This window comes from Homo sapiens, chromosome 10, assembly GCF_000001405.40.
Source record: "Homo sapiens chromosome 10, GRCh38.p14 Primary Assembly".
NCBI classification, from domain to species: domain Eukaryota; kingdom Metazoa; phylum Chordata; class Mammalia; order Primates; family Hominidae; genus Homo; species Homo sapiens.
Genome location: NC_000010.11, coordinates 66,509,892 through 66,530,164, shown reverse-complemented (window position 1 = coordinate 66,530,164; position 20,273 = coordinate 66,509,892). Strand labels below are relative to the sequence as shown.

Below are 20,273 nucleotides of genomic sequence, written 5' to 3'. Positions count from 1 at the left end.
CTTTTGTTATATTAAGTAAAATTTTTAAGATTATTTGTATCAATGCCAATATTGAACTATCTCTGGGAAAAATTAAATTACGTAGATTTATTTTCACCTTTTAAGTAATTGTTTTTAGAAATCTTTCAAGAGAAGTATATACATCAGCATTAAATCAAATGTTAAAATCTGAAGAACCTCTAAGGCATGAGCTAATTCAAACCCTGTCTCCACACCCCACCTCAGTGTATGCATACATGTATTTCTGTGAAAATAGGTCCTGGAGAGGTAATATGACTTTTTTTATGGGCATAAAATCAGTTTAAAGCAAAGTGAAACTTTAACTTGAGCCTCTTGGCTTCCAATCTAGAGTTTCTTCTATAATTTTGGGCAAGTTATTTCATCTCTTTGTGCCTCCATTGTCTTGTCAGCACATTGGAGATACTGATAAGATCTTTCTCAGGGGATGAAAAACAATACAAATCAAGTAATTAGAAACATGCCCGGCACATTGCAGGTCCTCAGTAATGTTATTTTTATAACTCCTACACTATTCTTCCATTTTTACACATATAGTAAAAGCAAAATAACTTTTTTGAAGAAAACCACTGTCACATCAAAAGGAAGGTGAAGGGAAAGAAGTCATTTTTCTCTGTAAAGAATAAAAATATTGCAGTTGAATATGTGTTCATTTTATCATTTCAGAAGATAGGTTTTTTTATTAAAAAAAAAAAACAAAAAAAAAACACTGTTTGGCTGGGCTCGGTGGCTCACGCCTGTAATCCCAACACTTTGCGAGGCCAAGGCGGGTGGATCACCTGAGGTCAGGAATTCAACACCAGCCTGCCCAACATGGTGAAACCCCATATCTACTAAAAATACAAACAAAATTAGCCGGGCACTGTGGCACACATCTGTAATCTCAGCTACTCAGGAGGCTGAGGCAGGAGAATTGCTTGAATCTGGGAGGTGGAGGTTGCAGTGAGCCAAGATCGCACCATTGCATTCTAGTCTGCTTGATAAGAGCAAAAACTCTGTCTCAAAAAAATTATAATAAATAAATAATACATTGATTGTGATAGGCCAGGCTGTGTGGAGCCTAAAGTATACAGAGTTTTGAGGGCCTTAAGAAAAAGTGAATATTTATTTAGAAAACAAAAACCAACTAGATACTAATTTTAAAATGCTGTCAAATATCAAAATATAGCAAAATCCAGAAAAATAATACATTTGTATAAATGATGTGTCAGATACACCCTCATAAAACTTTTTTCTTTTCTTTTTTTCTGTCTTTCACTGCACACTCTTGATCACCTCTAAAATGACAACAAGTTATTTTGTAATGTCACTTTCTATGTAGAAACTGAGAAGATAATTCAGTCTTTGTTTTAGCATAGTTTGTTTGGGGGGTGTTTCAGAAAGGAGAGCACATATAATTAGGACAGGCAAAGTCTCTATTGGTTCTATCATGATCCGATGTCAATACCACAAGTATGAAGGTGGTAAAAAATATAGGGAAGTGACTGTAAAACACCTGAAATTACCCACTAAACACAAACTAAATGTATCCTCAACTCAACTTCCCCTTAGCTGGATCCCAAAACTATTTGTGGCAGGTTTTACTAGAATAAATGACAATGTGAACACATTTCTAGAGTCTCTTATGGGTCTTAGAAGGCGTCTGTACAAATGAGATGCCTGTAAATACAAGCTTCTAATACCTAGAGGGACACAAAGAAAATCTTGAGACAGTCTGAAAATCCTAAATATTCTGAACGTAGTTTAGATGTTCAAGGGTTTCCCAAGGTAAATGAGTTTAGAATGTAGTAAAAGTTGTCTATCTGATTTAATAGAAAAATATGAGGAAGCTTAGCCTGAAGCATGTTGAGGTCTTGGCCATATATACCAGTAAAAATGGGGAGAAGCCTAAAGAAGATAGAATGGGACCAGCTGAAGCTAACTAAACTGGCTTTGGTCTGGGGTGTCAGACAACCTAATGCACAGGGTCTAACAGGAGCTAATTTGGACAGGCCTCTATGAGGAAAGAGAAATGAGGATCAAACACAGCCCTTATGAGCGAGCGTGGGCAGGGAATGTCCTTGGAATAACAGAAGCCCCATTTAAAAGGAGGCTGGTGAGTGCTTTCAGCAGTTCCTTGGAGTTCTGTGTACTCCTCCTATAACCTCAATCAATCCAATTAATTCCTTTCTTTTTACTTGCCTGACAAAATCCAACTTTAAACGAATAAAAAAACTTATATATTTTTTTGGTGGTATCCAAATTGAGAAGGAAGAAATAAAATTATCACTGTTCAGTGATGACATACTCTTATATTTAGAAAATCCTGAAGATTATACACACACAAATCTTAAAACTAATAACAGAATTCAGTAGAATACAAAATCAACACACAAAAATCAGTGTGTCTTTGTATACGAACAATGAACAATCTGAAAAGGGAATTGAGAAAACAATTTCACTTAATAATAGCATCATACGAAATGAAATGCCTAGGAATAAGCTTAACGAAAGAGGTGAAAGACTTTTACCTGAATGTCTTTTCCTTTGTAGTTTTTGCTGAAAACTACAAAATATTGCTGAAAGAAATTAAAGAAGACATAAAAAACAGAAAAGACATCATATGTTCATGGATTATAAAATTTAATATTATGAAGATGATAATACTAACCAAAGCAATGTACCAGTTCAATGTAATCCCTATCAAAATACCAACAATGTATTTTGCACATATAGAAAAAAACACATCCTCAATTTCATATGGAATCTCAAGGGACCTTGAGTAGCCAAAATAATCTTGAAAAATAAGAACAAATTTGGAGGCCTCACACTTTCTAATTTCAAAATTCATTACAAACTGCAATAATCAAATCAGTGTGATACAGACATATAGATAAATGGCATAGAAAAGATATCCCAGAAATAAACCCTTGCATTTACAGTCAAATGATTTTTGACAAGGCTGCCCAGATAATTCTATGGGTAAAGGATAGTCTTTTCAACAATTGGTGCTGGGAAAACAAGTACATGGCAACGAATGAAGTTTGCCCCACCTTGTGCCATATACAAAACTTAACTCAAAATGAATCAAAGACTTAAACATAGTGACTAAAAATATAGAACTCTTAGAAGAAAACATAGAGTGACACTTCGTGACATCAGATTTGGCAATGTGCATATGACACCAAAAGCACAAAAAATGGAAAAAAAAATTGGACTTCATCAAAATTTAAAACTTCTGTATATCAGAGGACATTAGCAAGAGAGGGAAGAGGCAACCCAAAGAGTGGGAGAAAATATTTACAAATCATATATATGATCAGAGATTAATAACCAGAATATGTAAAGGACTCCTAAAAGTCAACAAGAAAAAACAATTTAAAAATGGGCAAAATACTTGAATAGACATTTCTCCAAAGAAGATAAACAGTTCGTCAATAAGCACATGAAAAGATGTTCAGCATCATTAATCATTAGGGAAATGCAAACATAACCTCAATGAGATGCCACTTCACACCCATTAGGATGGTTGGGATTAAAAGAAAAAACAAAAGAGAAAATAAGTTTTGGCCAGGATATGAAAAAATAGGAACTCTTGGGCATTGCAGATATGAATACAAAATGGTGCAACTTCTGTGGAAAACAATGTGGCCATTTCATAAATTAAATTTAGAATTGTCAGTCTTCGCACAGTGGCTCACGCCTGGAATCCCAGCACTTTGGGAGGCTGAGGCCAGTAGATCACCTGAGCTCAGGAGTTCTAGACCAGCCTGGGCAACATGACGAAACCTTGTCTCTATCAAAAATACAAAAAATTATCTGGGTGTGGTGGTGCGCATTTGTGGTCCCAGCTACTTGGGAGGCTGAGGTGGGAGGATCGCTTGAGCCTGAGAGGTGGAAGTTGCTGTGAGCTGAGATTGAGCCGCTACACTCCAGCATAGGTGACAGAGTGAGACCCCTTTTTAAAAAAATTGTCATATAATCCAGCAATTCCATTTCTGGGCATATACCCCAAATAATTGCAAGCCAAGACTTGAGCAGGCATTTGTACAACAATGGTCATAACAGCATTATTCACAACAGCCAAAATATGGAAACAACCCAATGTCCACTGACAGATGAATGGGTGAGCAAAACATAGTATGTACATACTGTAGAATATTATTTAATCTTGAAAAGTAATGAAATTCTGATGCATACTACAACTTGAATAAACCTTGAAAATATTATGTTAAGGGAAATAAGCCAGACACAAAAGAACAAATGTTGTATAATTCCACTTATACGAAGTATCTAGAATAGTCAACAAAAGAGGTAGAAAGTATAATAGAGCTTACTAGGTACTAGGGGGAAGGAAGAATGGGAAGCTATTGTTTAATGAGTACAGAATTTCAGTTTGATGTGCTAAAAAGTTCTGGAGATGGATAGTTGCACAGCTATGTGAATGTACTTAATGCCACTGAGTTTTATAAATGGTTAACTTAGCGAATTTTATATATATATTCTTTCTCTCTCTCTTTCACATGCACACACACACACTCTCTCTCTTTTGTTTTTCTTTACACCAGGCATTGTAATGTTTCCTTCAGTGATGGCTTTATGGTTTCAAGGATCATCACTTACTCACAGCATCATAAATTAGTATAATATTGTTATAGAAGAGAGTACAGTGTGGCAATTAAGAGCATGAAGTCTAGGTCAAGTTGACAACTTCTCCTTAATAACTTGGTAACCTTACCTGAAAATGGAGATGACAACACCTACCTACCTCATTGTGGTGTAAAAATTAGGTTAAAAAAATTAGGTGAATATGTAGAAAGTGTTTGGAACAGTGGTGCATGATGCAAAGTATGGACTTTGTTAGTATTTTATTATTATCGTTATTAGCATTTCTGTGGCCTTGTAATCCAAAATAGGATACTCTCAAAAACAGTCAACTCCTAGTTCTTTTTTTTTCTTTTATCTGAGTATCATTTTCTCTCTGTTGATGTTATTGACTCTCTTGATATATTTTCCCCATTCTCCTCTTGCCACCCACTGGCTTATTTTACTCCACACTTTGCTTTTGCCTGTTTATTTTTGTCTTTCTTTCTTTCTTTTCTTTTCTTTTTTTTATTTGAAATGGAGTTTTGCTCTTATTGCCCAGGCTGGAGTACAATGGTGCGATCTCGGCTCACCACAACCTCCGCTTCCCTGGTTCAAGCAATTCTCCTGCCTCAGCCTCCCAAGTAGCTGGGATTACAGGCATGCACCACCACGCCCAGCTAATTTTGTATTTTCAGTGGAGAGGAGGTTTCTCCATATTGGTCAGTCTGGTCTCGCACTCCTGACCTCAGGAGATCCGCCTGCCTTAGCCTCCCAAAGTCCTGGGATTACAGGCGTGAGCCACCGCACCTGGCCTATTTTTTTTTCTTTTTAAACATTATAGGTTCAGTCTATTTACAGTTTCTTCTTCCTTGCACTTTGGCTCTAGTTTCCTTGTAGCCTCAGTTCCATTGGCCCCCTCTGGTTCTGATTTTATAAGATGGCTGCTCTTTACAGAAACTTTCAGCTTTGATCTTGACTGCTAACTAATGATTTCTCCATAAATTCTAGTTCAAATTTTCAAGATTGATTAACACAACACAACTTTTTATGTCAAACCTCATAACCATCACCAGCCAGCCAACAGATTAACTCTTCTTGAATTGGGTACCTGCCTATGACCTAAATAGTGTTGAAGTGGGAGAAAATAATACCAAACCTGCCCTCCTGTGGCTGTCCTCTCAGTGTGGGCTGCGAGCAGAATAGTTTCTCTTAGGGACAGTTTGTAAGTATAGCATTTATGGTAATTAACATGTTTAGTATACCAAGAAGCAAAGATGAATAATACATAGTCCCTCCTATAATGGAGCTCATTACCCAGGAATAGACATGTGTACGAGCAATCATGCAATAGAATAACTACTATTTATTTATATGGACAAAATATTTTTTAAACAGGCTTCACAGTATGTGGTGATATTTCCATGGATATGTTAAGTATGAAAAATGTTTCCTGAGACGGAGTAGAGCAGAAAAAGGGATGGAGCAAGGGCATTAAGGCAGATTCAGCTCTAAAAACAGTCACAGAGGTACAAAGATGAGTGGTGTGATAAGGAAATGGAGCTTAAAACTGTGGCTGGAACAAAGACTAAAATGAGTAAGATTATTACAGCAGAATGAACTGTAGGTAAGGACCAACCTGGGGACGGTTTTAGACTATGAATTACTGAAAAGAAATATGGTGTTTGTTTTTAGTCAACTAGGATTTTATCAAAGGTTATCAGCAAGTGGGGGGCATGATCACTTCGGCATTTGAGAAAGAAATGTGTTTGCATTAAGGAGAATGTCTAAGAGCAAATAGAGACTGGAAGTAGAAACCTACAAGGCTACTAGAATGGCCCAGTTAAGATATAATAAGGCCCGAACTCAAAAGAGACTGTTTCAAAGGTAAACTGACAGACTAGATAATTATCAGGGTCAAGTGACCGACATGTAAATATTTCAACCATAATTTAAAGAAACAAAATGCCTCAGAAAGCAACATAATTCATTTTAAAAAAAAGCTTTAGTTTTACGTGAAGAAGATTTAAGAATGGTTATTTTATTTTCTCTAGATATATGGCTAAAATTCTAGGAGTGTGACATTGGGATGAACATTTTTCTGCCCTAAAGAGGGTTAGAAGAATTCTTCTGAATTGTGTCTTCTTTTAGATTTAAGCTAAATATCACAAGAGTCAAGTAGGATAAAGCTTCTTCATAGTGTGCAGTGTTGAATCAGATAAATTGGATCAGCAGCAGAACTGAAAATATTCTTATAAAATGTAGCCTGTCTTATATTCATAACTTCATATCTCCACTGAGGGTTTTACACCAGTACTTTAAAAGTATACTTTGCTGTGAAGGCATAATTTCAGTACAACCACATGTGTACGTAGCTGTCCAATTGCAAGAACAATGAAACACCAGGGACCAGAGCCACTGCAGTATACACGAAGGTACATTGTAAGTTAATAGGTTAATAAAACTCTAAAACTGAAGTCAAGGCATACTGCACAGTAGTTATTTCTAAAGTTAGTGTGTTTCCTTAAAATTTAATATGTTCCTCTTTTGTAGAAAAGAAACAAAAAAAGAGGATTTAAATATATTATTCTCAGGCAACTAATTTTTTCCGTCTTCTACCTCCAATAATGTGGTGACAGGAAGTGACTTAAGGTACAGTCTTTAGGATATTCAGTAGAAAAAGCTTCTTTTTATTGTTGTCATTGTATGAGAGGTCTTCAAAACCTTTACTGAAAATGTGTTTTATGAAAAAATTATGCATAGAATTCAACATTTTTGCACAAAAATAAACTTGTGCTAACTTGTGATAACGTGCGTGGACAGGATCTAGTTTGACGGGTTAAAAATCAGAGACATCAGTTTGAAAAGAGCCCTATATTAGTCTGTTCTAATGCTGCTAATAAAGACAGAACTGAGACTGGGTAATCCATAAAGGAAAGAGGTTTAATTGACCCACAGCTCCACAGGGCTGGGGATGCCTCAGAAAACTCACAACCATGGCAGAAGGGGATGCAAACATGTCCTTCTTTACGTAGCGGCAGGAAAGAGAAGTGCTGAGCAAAAGGGGAAAATCCCCTTATGAAACTATCAGATCTCGTGAGAACTCAACTATCATAAGAACAGCATGGAGGTAACCGTCCTCATGATTTAAGTACCTCCCACCAGGTCCCTCCCATGACATATGGGAATTATGAGAACTACAATTCAAGATGAGATTTGAGTGGAAATACAGCCAAACTATATCAAACCCCTATGAAAGGCAACATAAACTCTGCTAAAATTGAAGAACAAACATCATATTTATGGCAAAGTTTGAGTGGAAGAATGATGAAATCACTGATGCTTTAAAAAATATTCATAGAGACAATGCCCCAAATAAATCTTCAGTTTACAAACTGATAACTTATTTTAACAAGAGATGAGATGATGTTGAAGATGAAGCTCACAGAAGCAGCCCATCCACATCCATTTGTGATTAAAAAAATATTATATTATTCATGCTCTAATTGAAGGAAACCAATGATTAATAGCACAAGCAATAGCCAACACCATAGACATCTTAATTGGTTCAGTTTACACAATTCTGACTAAAAAATTAAAGTTGAAAAAACATTCCACTCAATGAGTATCCAAACCATTTTGCCCAGATCAGCTGCAGACAACAGCAGAGCTTTCGATGGAATTTTTAAATAAGTGGGACCAAGATCCTGAATTGCTTCTTTGAAGAATTGTAACAGGAGATGAAACACGGCTTTACAAGTACAATTCTGAAGACATCACAATCAAAGCAATGGCTACTGAGAGTTGGAAGTGATCCAGTCAAAGCAAAAACAGACCAGTCAAGAACAAGGGTTATGGCAACAGTTTTTTGATATGCTAAAGGCATTTTACTTAATGACTTCCTGGAGGGCCAAAGAATGATAACATCTGCTTACTTTGAGAGTGGTTTGACAAAATTAACCAAAACTTTAACAGAAATATGCCCAAGAATGTGTCAACAGAATGTCCTTCTTCACCATTACAGTGCTTCTGCTCATTTCTCTCCTGAAACAAGGGCAATGTTTCAGGAATATCCATGGGAAATCACTGGGCATTCAACTTACAGTCCTAATTTGGTTCTTTCTGATTTCTTTTTGTTTACTAATTTGAAAAAAAAATCTGTTAAAGGCATCCATTTCTCACCAGTTAATAATGTAAAAAAGACTGGATTGGCATGTTTAAATTACCAGAATCATCAGTTAAGGATTGATTAAATGCCTGATATCATCACTTAGAAAAGTGTCTTGAACTTGATGGAGCTTATGGTAACAAAGTTTATATTTAAAAAACTCACTCTGCAATAATAGAGGGAGTAGGAAAATTTTAAAAATAAAAATTATTATTTATACCTATATAATTTATACTAATAAATATAAAACGTTTTGTACTTTTCAATATAAACTGTATATATGGAGACATTTTACTGTTTTTCCTATTGTCGATGATGAATGTATTTAACCATAATTTAATTTAAATAATCTAATTTTAATACACTTAATGTATTGAAATAAATCACTGAGTAAATGTTCTACATCTTTACAGATTTTTTTAAATTCCATTTTTTATGTTTAACATGAATGAGTATAATTTAATTAATTTTATTTTATTGTTTTAATATTTTTTATTTATTTTATATATTTAGGAATTATAAGTGCAGATTTCTTACATGAATATATTGCATAGTGGTGAAGTGTGGGCTTTTAGTGTGCCCATCACCCAAATAGTGAACATTGCAACCAATAGGTAATTTTTTCAATCCTTATCTTTATAGATTATTAATGCTGCACTTGCTTTGGCTGCAAGACCCAAAAGTCAAGCGGTCAAAAACACCATGGAAATGTACAAGCGTACATGGGAGAATCATATACATGTCCTCACTGAAGCCGTAGATGACATTACAAGCATTGATGACTTCCTTGCTGTATCTGGTATGTTTTTATTCTTTTAATTTGTTTATTTTCTCTTGTCAATTTTATAAAATAGAATAATACTGGGACAGGCATGGTGGCTCATGCCTGTAATGCCAACACTTTGGGAAGCCGAGGCAGGTGGATTACTTGAGGTCAGGGATTCGATACCAGCCTGGCCAACATGATGAAACCCCCGCTCTACTAAAAATACAAAAATTAGCTGGGTGTCATGGCTCACGTCTGTAATCCCAGCTACTCAGGAGGCTGAGGCAGGAGAATTGCTTGAACCCAGGAGGCAGAGGTTGCAGTGAGCTGAGATCATGTCACTACACTCCAGCCTGGGCAACAGAGCTAGACTCTATCTCAAAAAAAAAAAAAAAAAAAAAAAAGAATAATACTAAATAAGATTAATTTTATTTAATCCAGTAAACATTTAATTGATTGTATTTTTGGATGCAATATGTTGCTATGTATTAGCAGCAGTTGTGTCATCCATGGTCTACTCTGGGATTATGAGCCTGACCTCTTGTAATCTTTTTAAATTTAACAATTTACACTGAGTCTATAAAAGAAACTCCTATTCATGGCCAAAACATATTAGAAAATAATACCTAGAATCTTAGGTTTTTCCTAGATTTTCAAATAAATCCTGATTTCCCTGCGCTTCTTTTCCAACCAAATTTTTCTCCCCTCATGGAAAAAAACATATTAGTGAGAAAACATCATCGATTTGAAATGTGTGAACCACAAAATCTGAGACAGATCTCAGTCAATTTGGGAAGTTTATTTTGCCAAAGTTCAGGACACGCACCCATGACTCAGCCTCAGAAGTTCCTGATGACATGTGCCCAAGGTGATCAGAGCACAGCTTAGTTTTATACATTTTAGGGAGACATGAGACATCAATCAACATATGTAAGATGAACAAAGGTTCAGTCTAGAAATGTGGAACAAATTGAAGCAAAAGTGGGACAAGTAGAAATGGGAAGGGGGCTTCCAGGTCATAGGTAGATAAGAGACAAATGGTTGCAATCTTTTGAGTTTCTGATTAGCTTTTCCAAAGGAGGCAATCAGATATGCATTTATCTCACTGAGCAGAGAGATGACTTTGAATAGAATGGGAGGCAGGTTTGTCCTAAGCAGTTCCCAGCTTGACTTTTCCCTTTGGCTTAGTAATTTTGGGGCTCCAAGATTTATTTTCCTTTCACAGATGCAATATGATAATTCAACAACCATTATATGTATTTGACAGTGCTAATCTAAAGAATTAAACAAACAAGTCTAAATATCTAACTACAACAGACAAGGTTGAGATTCCATGTGAAGCCCAGATTATTATCTCATCACAAATTAGAATAATATCCCACAGGATTGTGAAGATACTCATAAATCAATATCCTCAGAAGCATAATTCAAGTTTTGTTTGTGTTGTAAGAACAAAGAAGTGAACACATTTTCGTCTTTTTTATTCTCTCAAAAAGTAATCCTCTGTCTAAAATAAATTATATATACATTTTTCCTTTTTTGTAAGAGAAGGATTTTCTTGGAATGTGATAATATTCTTTCTTATAAAATGCAAATTCTCATGAATATCCAACTTCATTTTTTAAAGTTACCTGATTTGTTCCAGTCTAACCTATTGACTTCATTACTTTCATGTATGTATACATTCTCATAATGAAAAATTATTCCAGAAACCAACTATATTTTCATGATACATTAGTGAAAATGAAATGTATGCTAATTACATATTTTTAAACTACTTTATTTTTATAGAATCAAAATCTTTGGAAATATAGAAAATGTATGGGAAAAAAAATTAATGGCCTTTGATTCCACTACTCAGGAATAATAATCACTGCTAACTGATTTTTTTTCCTTTCACCATTTTTCTAATATATATTTATATTTTCAAATGTGTATCATGCATGTATATATGCATATTTATGTTACTTGCCTTTTTACACATATTTGGCTGCATATTTCTGCATGATTGTATATTATTCAAGAACTTATTCATTTATGTGCTCTTTTGGTAACATTTAAACAGTAATTTTAATTATTATGAACAACATTAAGCATATTTTTGTCTATTTGCTATCTCCTTCATATAGACTTCACAAAGTAAATTCAGTCAACACCTTATATTGGAAAAGCCTTTTGTAATTTGACTGTTGAATAGTAGGTTCTGTTTCTCGGTTCTTTTGGTTAAAAGGCAAAGGAACCTACTTACATTCATCAATGTAGAGGTAGTTTAGCATAGTAATACTGACAGCACATAGGGAGAATACTCTGGACATGCAACAAGGGGAACCATAATTTACCAATCTTTGCATGATTAGAGCTGGGGGAGGCCTGGGATCCAGGGATATTGTAGGTCCTTAAAGCAGGAATTAATAGTTTTTCCCTTTAGTGCTAGATTAACCTGATATACCGATATTCTGGATCTGCTTCTTTTCATGGACAACTTAAGCAGTTCAAAACATAAACAAGAAACAGAAAACTCATGTAAAGGTTACTTAAATAACAAAAACCCTTCCTTATCTCATATACCTAGATGTTTGATATACTTGGCTTTAGGGTTACTAGCCCTAGCAAACGGAGGACTTGGGTAGGAGCAGTTAAGCTATGTGGAGAGGGATATTTTCATGGCTAACATTATTTAGAATTGTCCGTACAGGAGGATAATAAAAAGTAGACTGATGGTTAATATGTTTAATTATTATTTTTAAATTCTGTACAGAAAACGCACATTATTTTCTATGCCCATGGTGGACTGCTCATGATTTTCTGCATTTTGGTTGCCCTGGTTGGTAATATTTCTGTTACAGGAAAGGGGTCCCATTCTAGACCCCAAGAGAGGGTTCTTGGATCTTGTGCAAGAAAAAATTGGGGGTAAGTCTGCAATGCAAAGTGAAAGCAAGTTTATTGAGAAAGTAAAGAAATGAAAGAATGGGTACTTCATTAACAGAGCAGCCCTGAGAACTGCTGGTTGCCCATTTTTATGGTTATTTCTTGGTGATATGCTAAACAAGGGGTGGATTATTCATGCCTCCCCCTTTTAGACCATATAGGGTAACTTCCTGATGTTGCCATGGCATTTGTAAATTGTCATGGGGCTGATGGCAGTGTAGTAGTGAGGATGAGCAGAGGTCACTCTTGTGGCCATCTTGGTTTTGGTAGGATTTAGCCGGCTTCTTTACTGCAAACCTATTTTATCAGCAAGGTCTTTATGACCTATATCTTGTGCCGACCTCCTATCTCATCCTGTGACTTAGAATGCATTAACTGTCTAGGAATGCAGCCCAGTAGGTTTCAAAATCATTTTACCAAGCTCCTATTCAAGATGGAGTTGTTCTGATTCACATGCCTCTGACAGTTCAAGGTTATTTTATTTATTTATTTATTTATTTTGAGACAGAGTCTCTCTGTGTCACCCAGGCTTGAGTGCAGTGGCGCAATCTTGGCTCACTGCAACTCCACCTCCCGGATTCAAGCAATTCTCCTGCCTCAGCCTCCCAAGTAGCTGGGATTACAGGCATGTGCCACCACACCTGGCTAATTTTTTTGATTTTTAGTAGAGATGGAGTTTCACTGTATTGGCCAGACTGGTCTCGAACTCCTGACCTTGTGATCCACCCGCCTTGACCTCTCAAAGTGCTGGGATTATAGGTGTGAGCCACCTTGCCCGGCCCAGTTCAAGGTTATTAATGTGTAAGCATCTCTGAATTCTGTTCATGTTCCCTCTTGGTTGCATCTTAAAGCATTGCATCTCCAAACATTACACAACACAATTTAAAACGGAAAAAGAAGCTGGCTTGCAGCTTTAACTTTAGAGAAGAAAGTCTTTCCCAGATGATTTTCATCAGTTTCTCTTACTTGTCATAGGTCAAAACTTGGTTCCTCTCTCAATCTTGAGCCAATTACCGGCAAAAGAAAATTAGATTTCCAAGATGAGTTTAGAGGGTGCTGATAAGTGATTAACAACTGACTAGAAGCCAGAGGGAGTGGTAGTCCTAATTTGTAGCATTTGTTTATTTCTGTGGCATAAATACCCCCACCTTTGCAGGTTTTAAGCTACCAATGTGATGTCACTGAACTCTGAGTTGGTACGAAATGCATAGAATCGGCTCTTGTGAGCTGGAATAAACAGGTTCTAATTGAACACTAGGCTTAGACCAGCCACAATTTAACCTTTATTACTAGTCACTTACTACACAAACAAAATCAGAGATTTGTTAGTAAAAAAAGAGAAATGGCCATTAAACAGTCAAGCAGACATGTTTGCCTAAAATACTGAGTGGTTTCCACTGCTCTCTCAAGTTTCTGTGCCTTCATAAGCTTATCTTATATTAGTTTAGCCATGATTCTTTACCAGTGATCTTTTTGTAACATCATAATTTTTCAACATCTGCTCCCACAGATTATGGCATCTTCTCTCAGAATTTTCCCAGTCAAACAAAAGAGAAAGAATCTAGCTGGCCCTCTAGATCTTTTTTGTACCAGCCTAGATGCTGTAGGTCCAAAATAAAACCAATGAATAGATGGGTTACCTTTTTTTTTTTTTTTTCCAGATAATTAATCATAGTTTGAATAGCTGTGATGAGAATTGGCACAATCTTGCATCTTCTGTAGGGGACAGATTTTCTTAGAAAAGTTACAGATGTGTTTAATAGCAAATAACTTATCTGGTACTTGTGAAGAATGATTGATATGGCTTGGCTATGTCCCCACCAAAATCTCATCTTGAATTATAGTTCCCATAATTCCCACATGTTGTTGTGGGAGGGACCCCGTAGAGATAATTGAATCACAGGGGTGGTTTCCCCCATCCTGTTCTTGTGATAGTGAGGTTAATTCTCACGAGATCTGATGGTTTTATAAAGGCTTCTTCCTTCACTGGGCTCTCATTCTCCTTCCTGCCATGATGTGAAAAAGGATGTGTTTGCTTCCCCTTCCACCATGATTGTAAGTTTCCTGAGGCCTCCCTAGCCATGTGGAACTGTGAGTCAATTAAACCTCTTTTCTTTATAAATGACCCAGTCTTGGGAAGTTCTTTAGAGCAGCATGAGAATGGACTAATACAATGATCTTTTAGAGTGATATGTTGTTTTGTATTCAGAGACTTCTGGTTCCTCTTTTGTCAGGTAGATCAATTGACAAGTTAGTTCTTAGCGTATCTGTGTTGTGAATTACTTAGGGAAAATTTTACTTTCAAATTTTTTATAAGCATTTAACCTCTCATGGGCTTTCTTTCAGGAGTCAATACTAATACTATATATATATATAGAGAGAGAGAGAGAGACAGAGAGGGAGAGACTATTTTCCATATAGATAGATAGATAGATAGATAGATAGATAGATAGATATAGGGAATAAGGGTCCAAAACAGATTTCCATTTTCTTCTGAATCATTTGTGAAAACGTGTGAATTCTCAGAATATCAGCTCTCTCTACATTAAAATGTAAATACAAATAAAAATTTAAAATCAATGGTAAAGGACTCTTAGACTTTAAACTATTTTTTTGTTATTACCACAGAGGAAGATCACATGTGGTAAAATATTTGCTTATAATTATGTTTTAGTATGATTCAATGGTCCAATATTGACTAAAGATTCTTGAAATAAGGGTATCTCTAATGACAAATGTCTTCTGTTTATCCATTGCAGTTATATATTTAAAACTGAAAGTTTTTCAATGATCATTTAAAAATTATTCATACCATCAACAAATGTCTCATGATAGTTAAACATATATTTTCAGAGGTCAGTTTGCATAAACTGACTCATCATGAGCTACAAACTTTGATAGAAGGGATGAATGATTTGGACCATAAGAACTATTCAACAATTACTAAGAACTGATTAAATATAAGGGTTTGTAAAAATACAACCTTTCTTTTATTTATTCCTTCGTTTATTTATTTAATATTCCATAATTATGAGTGCTAAATCCCATGAAAGGTACTGGAAATTGAACAATGAGTAAAAGGTAGTGGAAGAGATTACTTGCAAAAGAACTGTGGTGGTGGAGATCAAATGAGGATTGGTGGAAGCGATTGACAATGGTTTTTGGATTTTCTGAAAAAGAGATTGACCACTTCTAAATTAGAATTAGCAATGTTATTCCCTTATTGTGGAGTGTTCTGATTATAATATCACATTGACCTTTAGTGAACTGTAGTATTGAAGGATAGTTGAAGATGTGTTTTATTCTATATTTTAAATTTTTCTTAAATATGTTCACTTTTCCCCCATATTCACTGCTACTACGCCAGTTCAAGTAACTTTCTTTTCCCTAAGTTGCTGTAGAATCTTAATAGGACCTCTTACTTCCATAGTTTTGCCTGAAGTCTCTTAATAGGTATTTGCTGAATGTGTAAAAGTATTTATTCCCATTTTAAATTCTGTGTCTACATTAATTTTCCAGATTTATTTCTTCTTAATTCCTTTAATGTGTTTGGCCCCAGGATTAATATTTTAAAAAATCTTCAAATTATGAAAAAATAACTTTCAGCATTAATCATCACAATGTTCTTTGACCTTGGCTTAGTAACACCAAGGTAACTTTCAATGCCATCAAAAATGCACTAACAAGTGTCACACCAGACTACATCCTGCCCTGGGGCCTAATTGCTGCTGCATCTCCACATCACAGGTGCACAGCCTACATCCCCCGACACCATCCCAGAAGGTTGCAGTGTTACATTACCAGCTGAACCTAATGGTGCCACAGGGTCTCTGTTACCTGAGCCCACACAGAGACCTAAATCCCAGGGAATAGGCAGTCCTGCACGTCAGGGAGGCTCTCCCCAGGACATAGAAATCCAAAGCACATGCTTCCAAGAGCCTGAGAGCCACCTTCCCTGATGACAGTGACCTTGTTCCCTGCAGCAATTGGGCCATCATGTGCCTGCACACAATGCCCAGGGGCCTGAGGACCAGCTTGCTTGTGACCTACTGCCATGAACACTGATCCCCAAACGTGCCACTTAGGGCTTAAGGACTGCCCTGTCTGGGATGTGCCACCATCACAACCCAGCAAACTTGGCCCAGCAATAACAGGGCCACTATGTACCTTTGTGTACCACCCAGGATCCTGAGAACTGGTCCATGCAATGTGTACCACCAGAGGTGCGTGTGCACTCCCCAGGGATCCAAGGACTGCTTGCCTGGAGGCCCCATCTCCAGTAAAGTCACATCACAGCTTTCAGGAACAACTAGAGCATAAGACACTGTGAAGCCATAGATACTACTGATTGGACTAATGCTGAAGAAATCATATGGTGACTACAGTACTGCATTCTCCCAGAAACAAAGCCAAAGCACCCTACTCAAGTTTAACAATAGACTAGATAAAGCAAAAGAAATAATTTGTGATCTTGAAGACAGATCTTTTGAAATAAGCGAATTAGGCAAAAAGAGAAAAAAGAATAAAAATGAAAAAAGTTTACATGACATATGGGATATCACTATGCAAACAAATAGTCTATTCCTGTTTTAGAAATTCCAGAAGGAAAAGCAGTGAGAAAATAAATAGGCCACTTATTTAATGAAACAATAGCTGAAAAGTTTCCAACTCTTGGGAGATAATCATCTAGATATAGGGAGCTCAAATGTTCCCAAATCGATTAAATCCAAAAAGGTCTTCTATGAGGCACATGATAGTCAAATTGTCAAAGTAAAGACAAAAAGGGAATTCTAAAAACACCAAAAGAAAGCATCAAGTCACATATGAGGGTATCTTTGTCCGACTAACAGCAGATTTCTCAGAAGAAACTTACAAGCTAGGAGAGGATAGGATGATATATTCAGATTGCTGGAATAAAAAAAAGAAAAAACTTTCAACTAAGAATACTATAAACCATAAAGCTATTCTTTAGAAATGAAGGAGACATAAAATTTTCCCAGACATACAAAGACTGAGGGAATTAATCACTGTTAAACTGAACCTACAAGAAATGCTTAAGGGACTCCAACCTCTGAAAGCGAAAGGATGTTATCTATCAATTAAGCAAAAGCAGATATGTGTCTATATCATTGGTAGATGTTACCTATCAATTAAGGAAAAACATGAAAGTATACAATTCACTGGTAAAGCAGATATGCAAATGAGAAAAAGAAAGGAATAAAATTTTATCACTACAGAAAACCACCAAACCACAAAAATAATAAAAGAAGAAAGGAACTAAGGCTATACAGAGCAATTACAAAACAACTAACAAAATGACAAGAATAAATCCTCATCTTATCAATAACAACCTTAAATGTAAACCGTTTAAATTCCCTAATTGAAATATATAAACTGGCTGAATTAAAAAACTGAGACCCAACTATTTGCTGCTTGTGAAACTCACTTCTCATTTAAAAACACACATAGACTATAACAGAACAGATTAAACAAGATATTTGCTGCAAATGCAAACAAAAAGTGTGCAAAAGTAGCAAACTTATATCAGACAAAATAGACTTTTATTAAAAATAAAAAGATAAAAAGACACAGAGGTCATTATATAGTGATTAAAAAATCAATTCAGCAAGAGGAAAGAACAATTGTTAATATATATCCACCGAACACCAGAGCACTCAGATATATAGGGCAAATATTATTATAGTTAAAGAGAGAGATAGAGACACCAATGTAATAATAGTTGAGAACTTTAACACCTCACCCTCCTCACCCTCAGCATTGCACAGCTAATCTATACAGAAAGTCAACAAAGAAACATTGTACTTAAGCTTCATTTTATACCAAATGAACCTAATAGACATTTACAGAACATTTTTTCCAATGGCTACAAAATGTACATTCTTCTCATCAGCAGATGGAACATTCTCTAGGGTAGACCCTATGTTAGGCCCAAAACAACTCTAAATAATTTTTTCAAAAATGCAATTATACCATGTATTCTCAGGTTTCAGTGGATTATAATTAGAAATCAATAACAAGAGGAACACTGGAAACTGTAAAAATACATAAAAATTAAACAACATTCTCCTGAATGACAAATGAGTTAATGAAGAAATTAAGAAGGAAATTTTAAATACTTCTTGAAAGAAATGAAAACAGAAACAAGACATACCAAAAAACCTATGGAACACAGAAAAAATAGTACAAGAGGGAAGTTTAAAGGAATAAGCACCTATATAAAAAAAAAAAGATTTCAAATAACCTAGTGATACACCTCAAAAAATAGAAAAGCAAGAACACGCCAAACCCAAAGTTAATAGAGGAAAATAAATAATAAAGATCAGCACAGAATGAAACAAATTAGAGGCAAAAAAGCAAACAAAAGATTCATGAAAAAAGTTAGTTTTTGAAAAGTAAACCAAATCAACAAACTATTATATAGATTAAGAAAAAGACCTAAATAAATAATATCAGAAATGAACAATGAGATATTACAACTGACACCACAAAAATACAGAGGATCATTAGAGACTGTTAGGAACAACTATACACCAACAAATTAAAAAACATAAAGGAAATGGATACATTCCTAGACACAAGTATAAAATACCAAGATTGAACCAAAAATGAACAGAATCAAACAGACCAATAACAAATAAGAAGATTAAATCAGTAACAAAAAGTCTCTCAAAAAAGAAAAGTCCAAGACCAGATGGATTCACTAATGAATTCTAGCAAACTTTTAAATAACTAACACCATTTTTTCTCAAACTATTCCAAAAAATTGAGGATTAAGAAATTCTTCCTAATTAATTCTGTGAAGCTAGCATTACCCTGATAATAAAACCAGACAAGGGCACAACAAAAAAAGAAAACTATGGGCCAATATGTCTGATGAAGATAGATTTAAACACCCTCAACCAAATACTAGAAAATAGAACCCAACAGCACGTCAAAAACATAATGAACCTAATCAAGTAGAATTTATTCCAAGGATACAAGGATAGTTCAATATATGCAAATCAATAAATGTAATGCATCACATTAACAATATAAAATTTTAAAAACATATTATCTCAATAGACAGAAAAATCTTTTAATAAAATTCATCATCCCTTTATGATAAAAAATTCTTAACAAATTAGGCATAGAGGGAATATACCTCAACACAATAAAGACCATATATGACAAACCCATGGCTAACATTATACTGAATGAAGAAATACTGGAAGCTTTTTCTCTAAGAACTGGAAGAAGACAAGGATGCTCACTTTCACTACTCTTATTCAACATAGTACTAGAAGTCCTAGCACATAACAATTAGGAAAAAGAAAGTAAGAAATTGCCATCCACATTGGAAAAGAGGAAGTCAAATTGTCCCTCTTTGCAAACAACATGTTCTCATAAATAGAAAAATGTAATGACTCTGCCAAAATACTCTTAAAACTGGCAAATGAATTCATTAAAATTTCAGGATAAAAAAAATCAACATACAAAAATAATTAGTATTTTATATACCAGTAATGAACTAGGTGAAAAAGAATTTAAAAATGCAATCCTACTTGCAGTAGCTACAAAAAAAGACACTTAGAAATAAATTTAACCAAGGTGAAAGATGTCTACAATGAAAACTACAAAGCACTGATGAAAGAAATAGAAGAGGATAAAAAGAAATTGAAAAACATTCCATGCTCCTGGACTGAAAGAATTAATATTGTTAAAATGACCATTTCACCCAAGGCAGTCTACAGATTCAGTGCAATCCTTATCAAAATAACACTGTCATTCCTTACAGAAATGGAAAAACATCCTAAAATTGTCTGGAACCAC

The 20,273-nt window shown here is 35.2% G+C and overlaps 1 protein-coding gene across 8 annotated transcripts in view, besides 1 other annotated feature; it reads left to right on the top strand.

The window, feature by feature from the left end:
* Nucleotides 1–20,273, top strand: part of CTNNA3 (catenin alpha 3) — a 1,851,072-nt gene that overhangs the window by 1,233,430 nt on the left and 597,369 nt on the right. For all 8 annotated transcript variants that reach the window (XM_047425124.1, NM_013266.4, XM_017016152.2 and 5 more), the window contains one exon: nt 9,392–9,548. In XM_047425124.1, the coding sequence (XP_047281080.1) occupies nt 9,392–9,548 (157 nt within the window). The remainder of the gene's footprint in view (nt 1–9,391; nt 9,549–20,273) is intronic.
* Nucleotides 1,528–1,697: an enhancer, noted in NCBI's record as "experimental_15439 CRE fragment used in MPRA reporter constructs". NCBI's record gives its function as "activates a minimal promoter by MPRAs in K562 erythroleukemia cells, with activity observed for the non-introgressed 10:68288311 variant allele {active_cell/tissue: K562}" and the evidence as "EXISTENCE:reporter gene assay evidence [ECO:0000049][PMID:34662402]".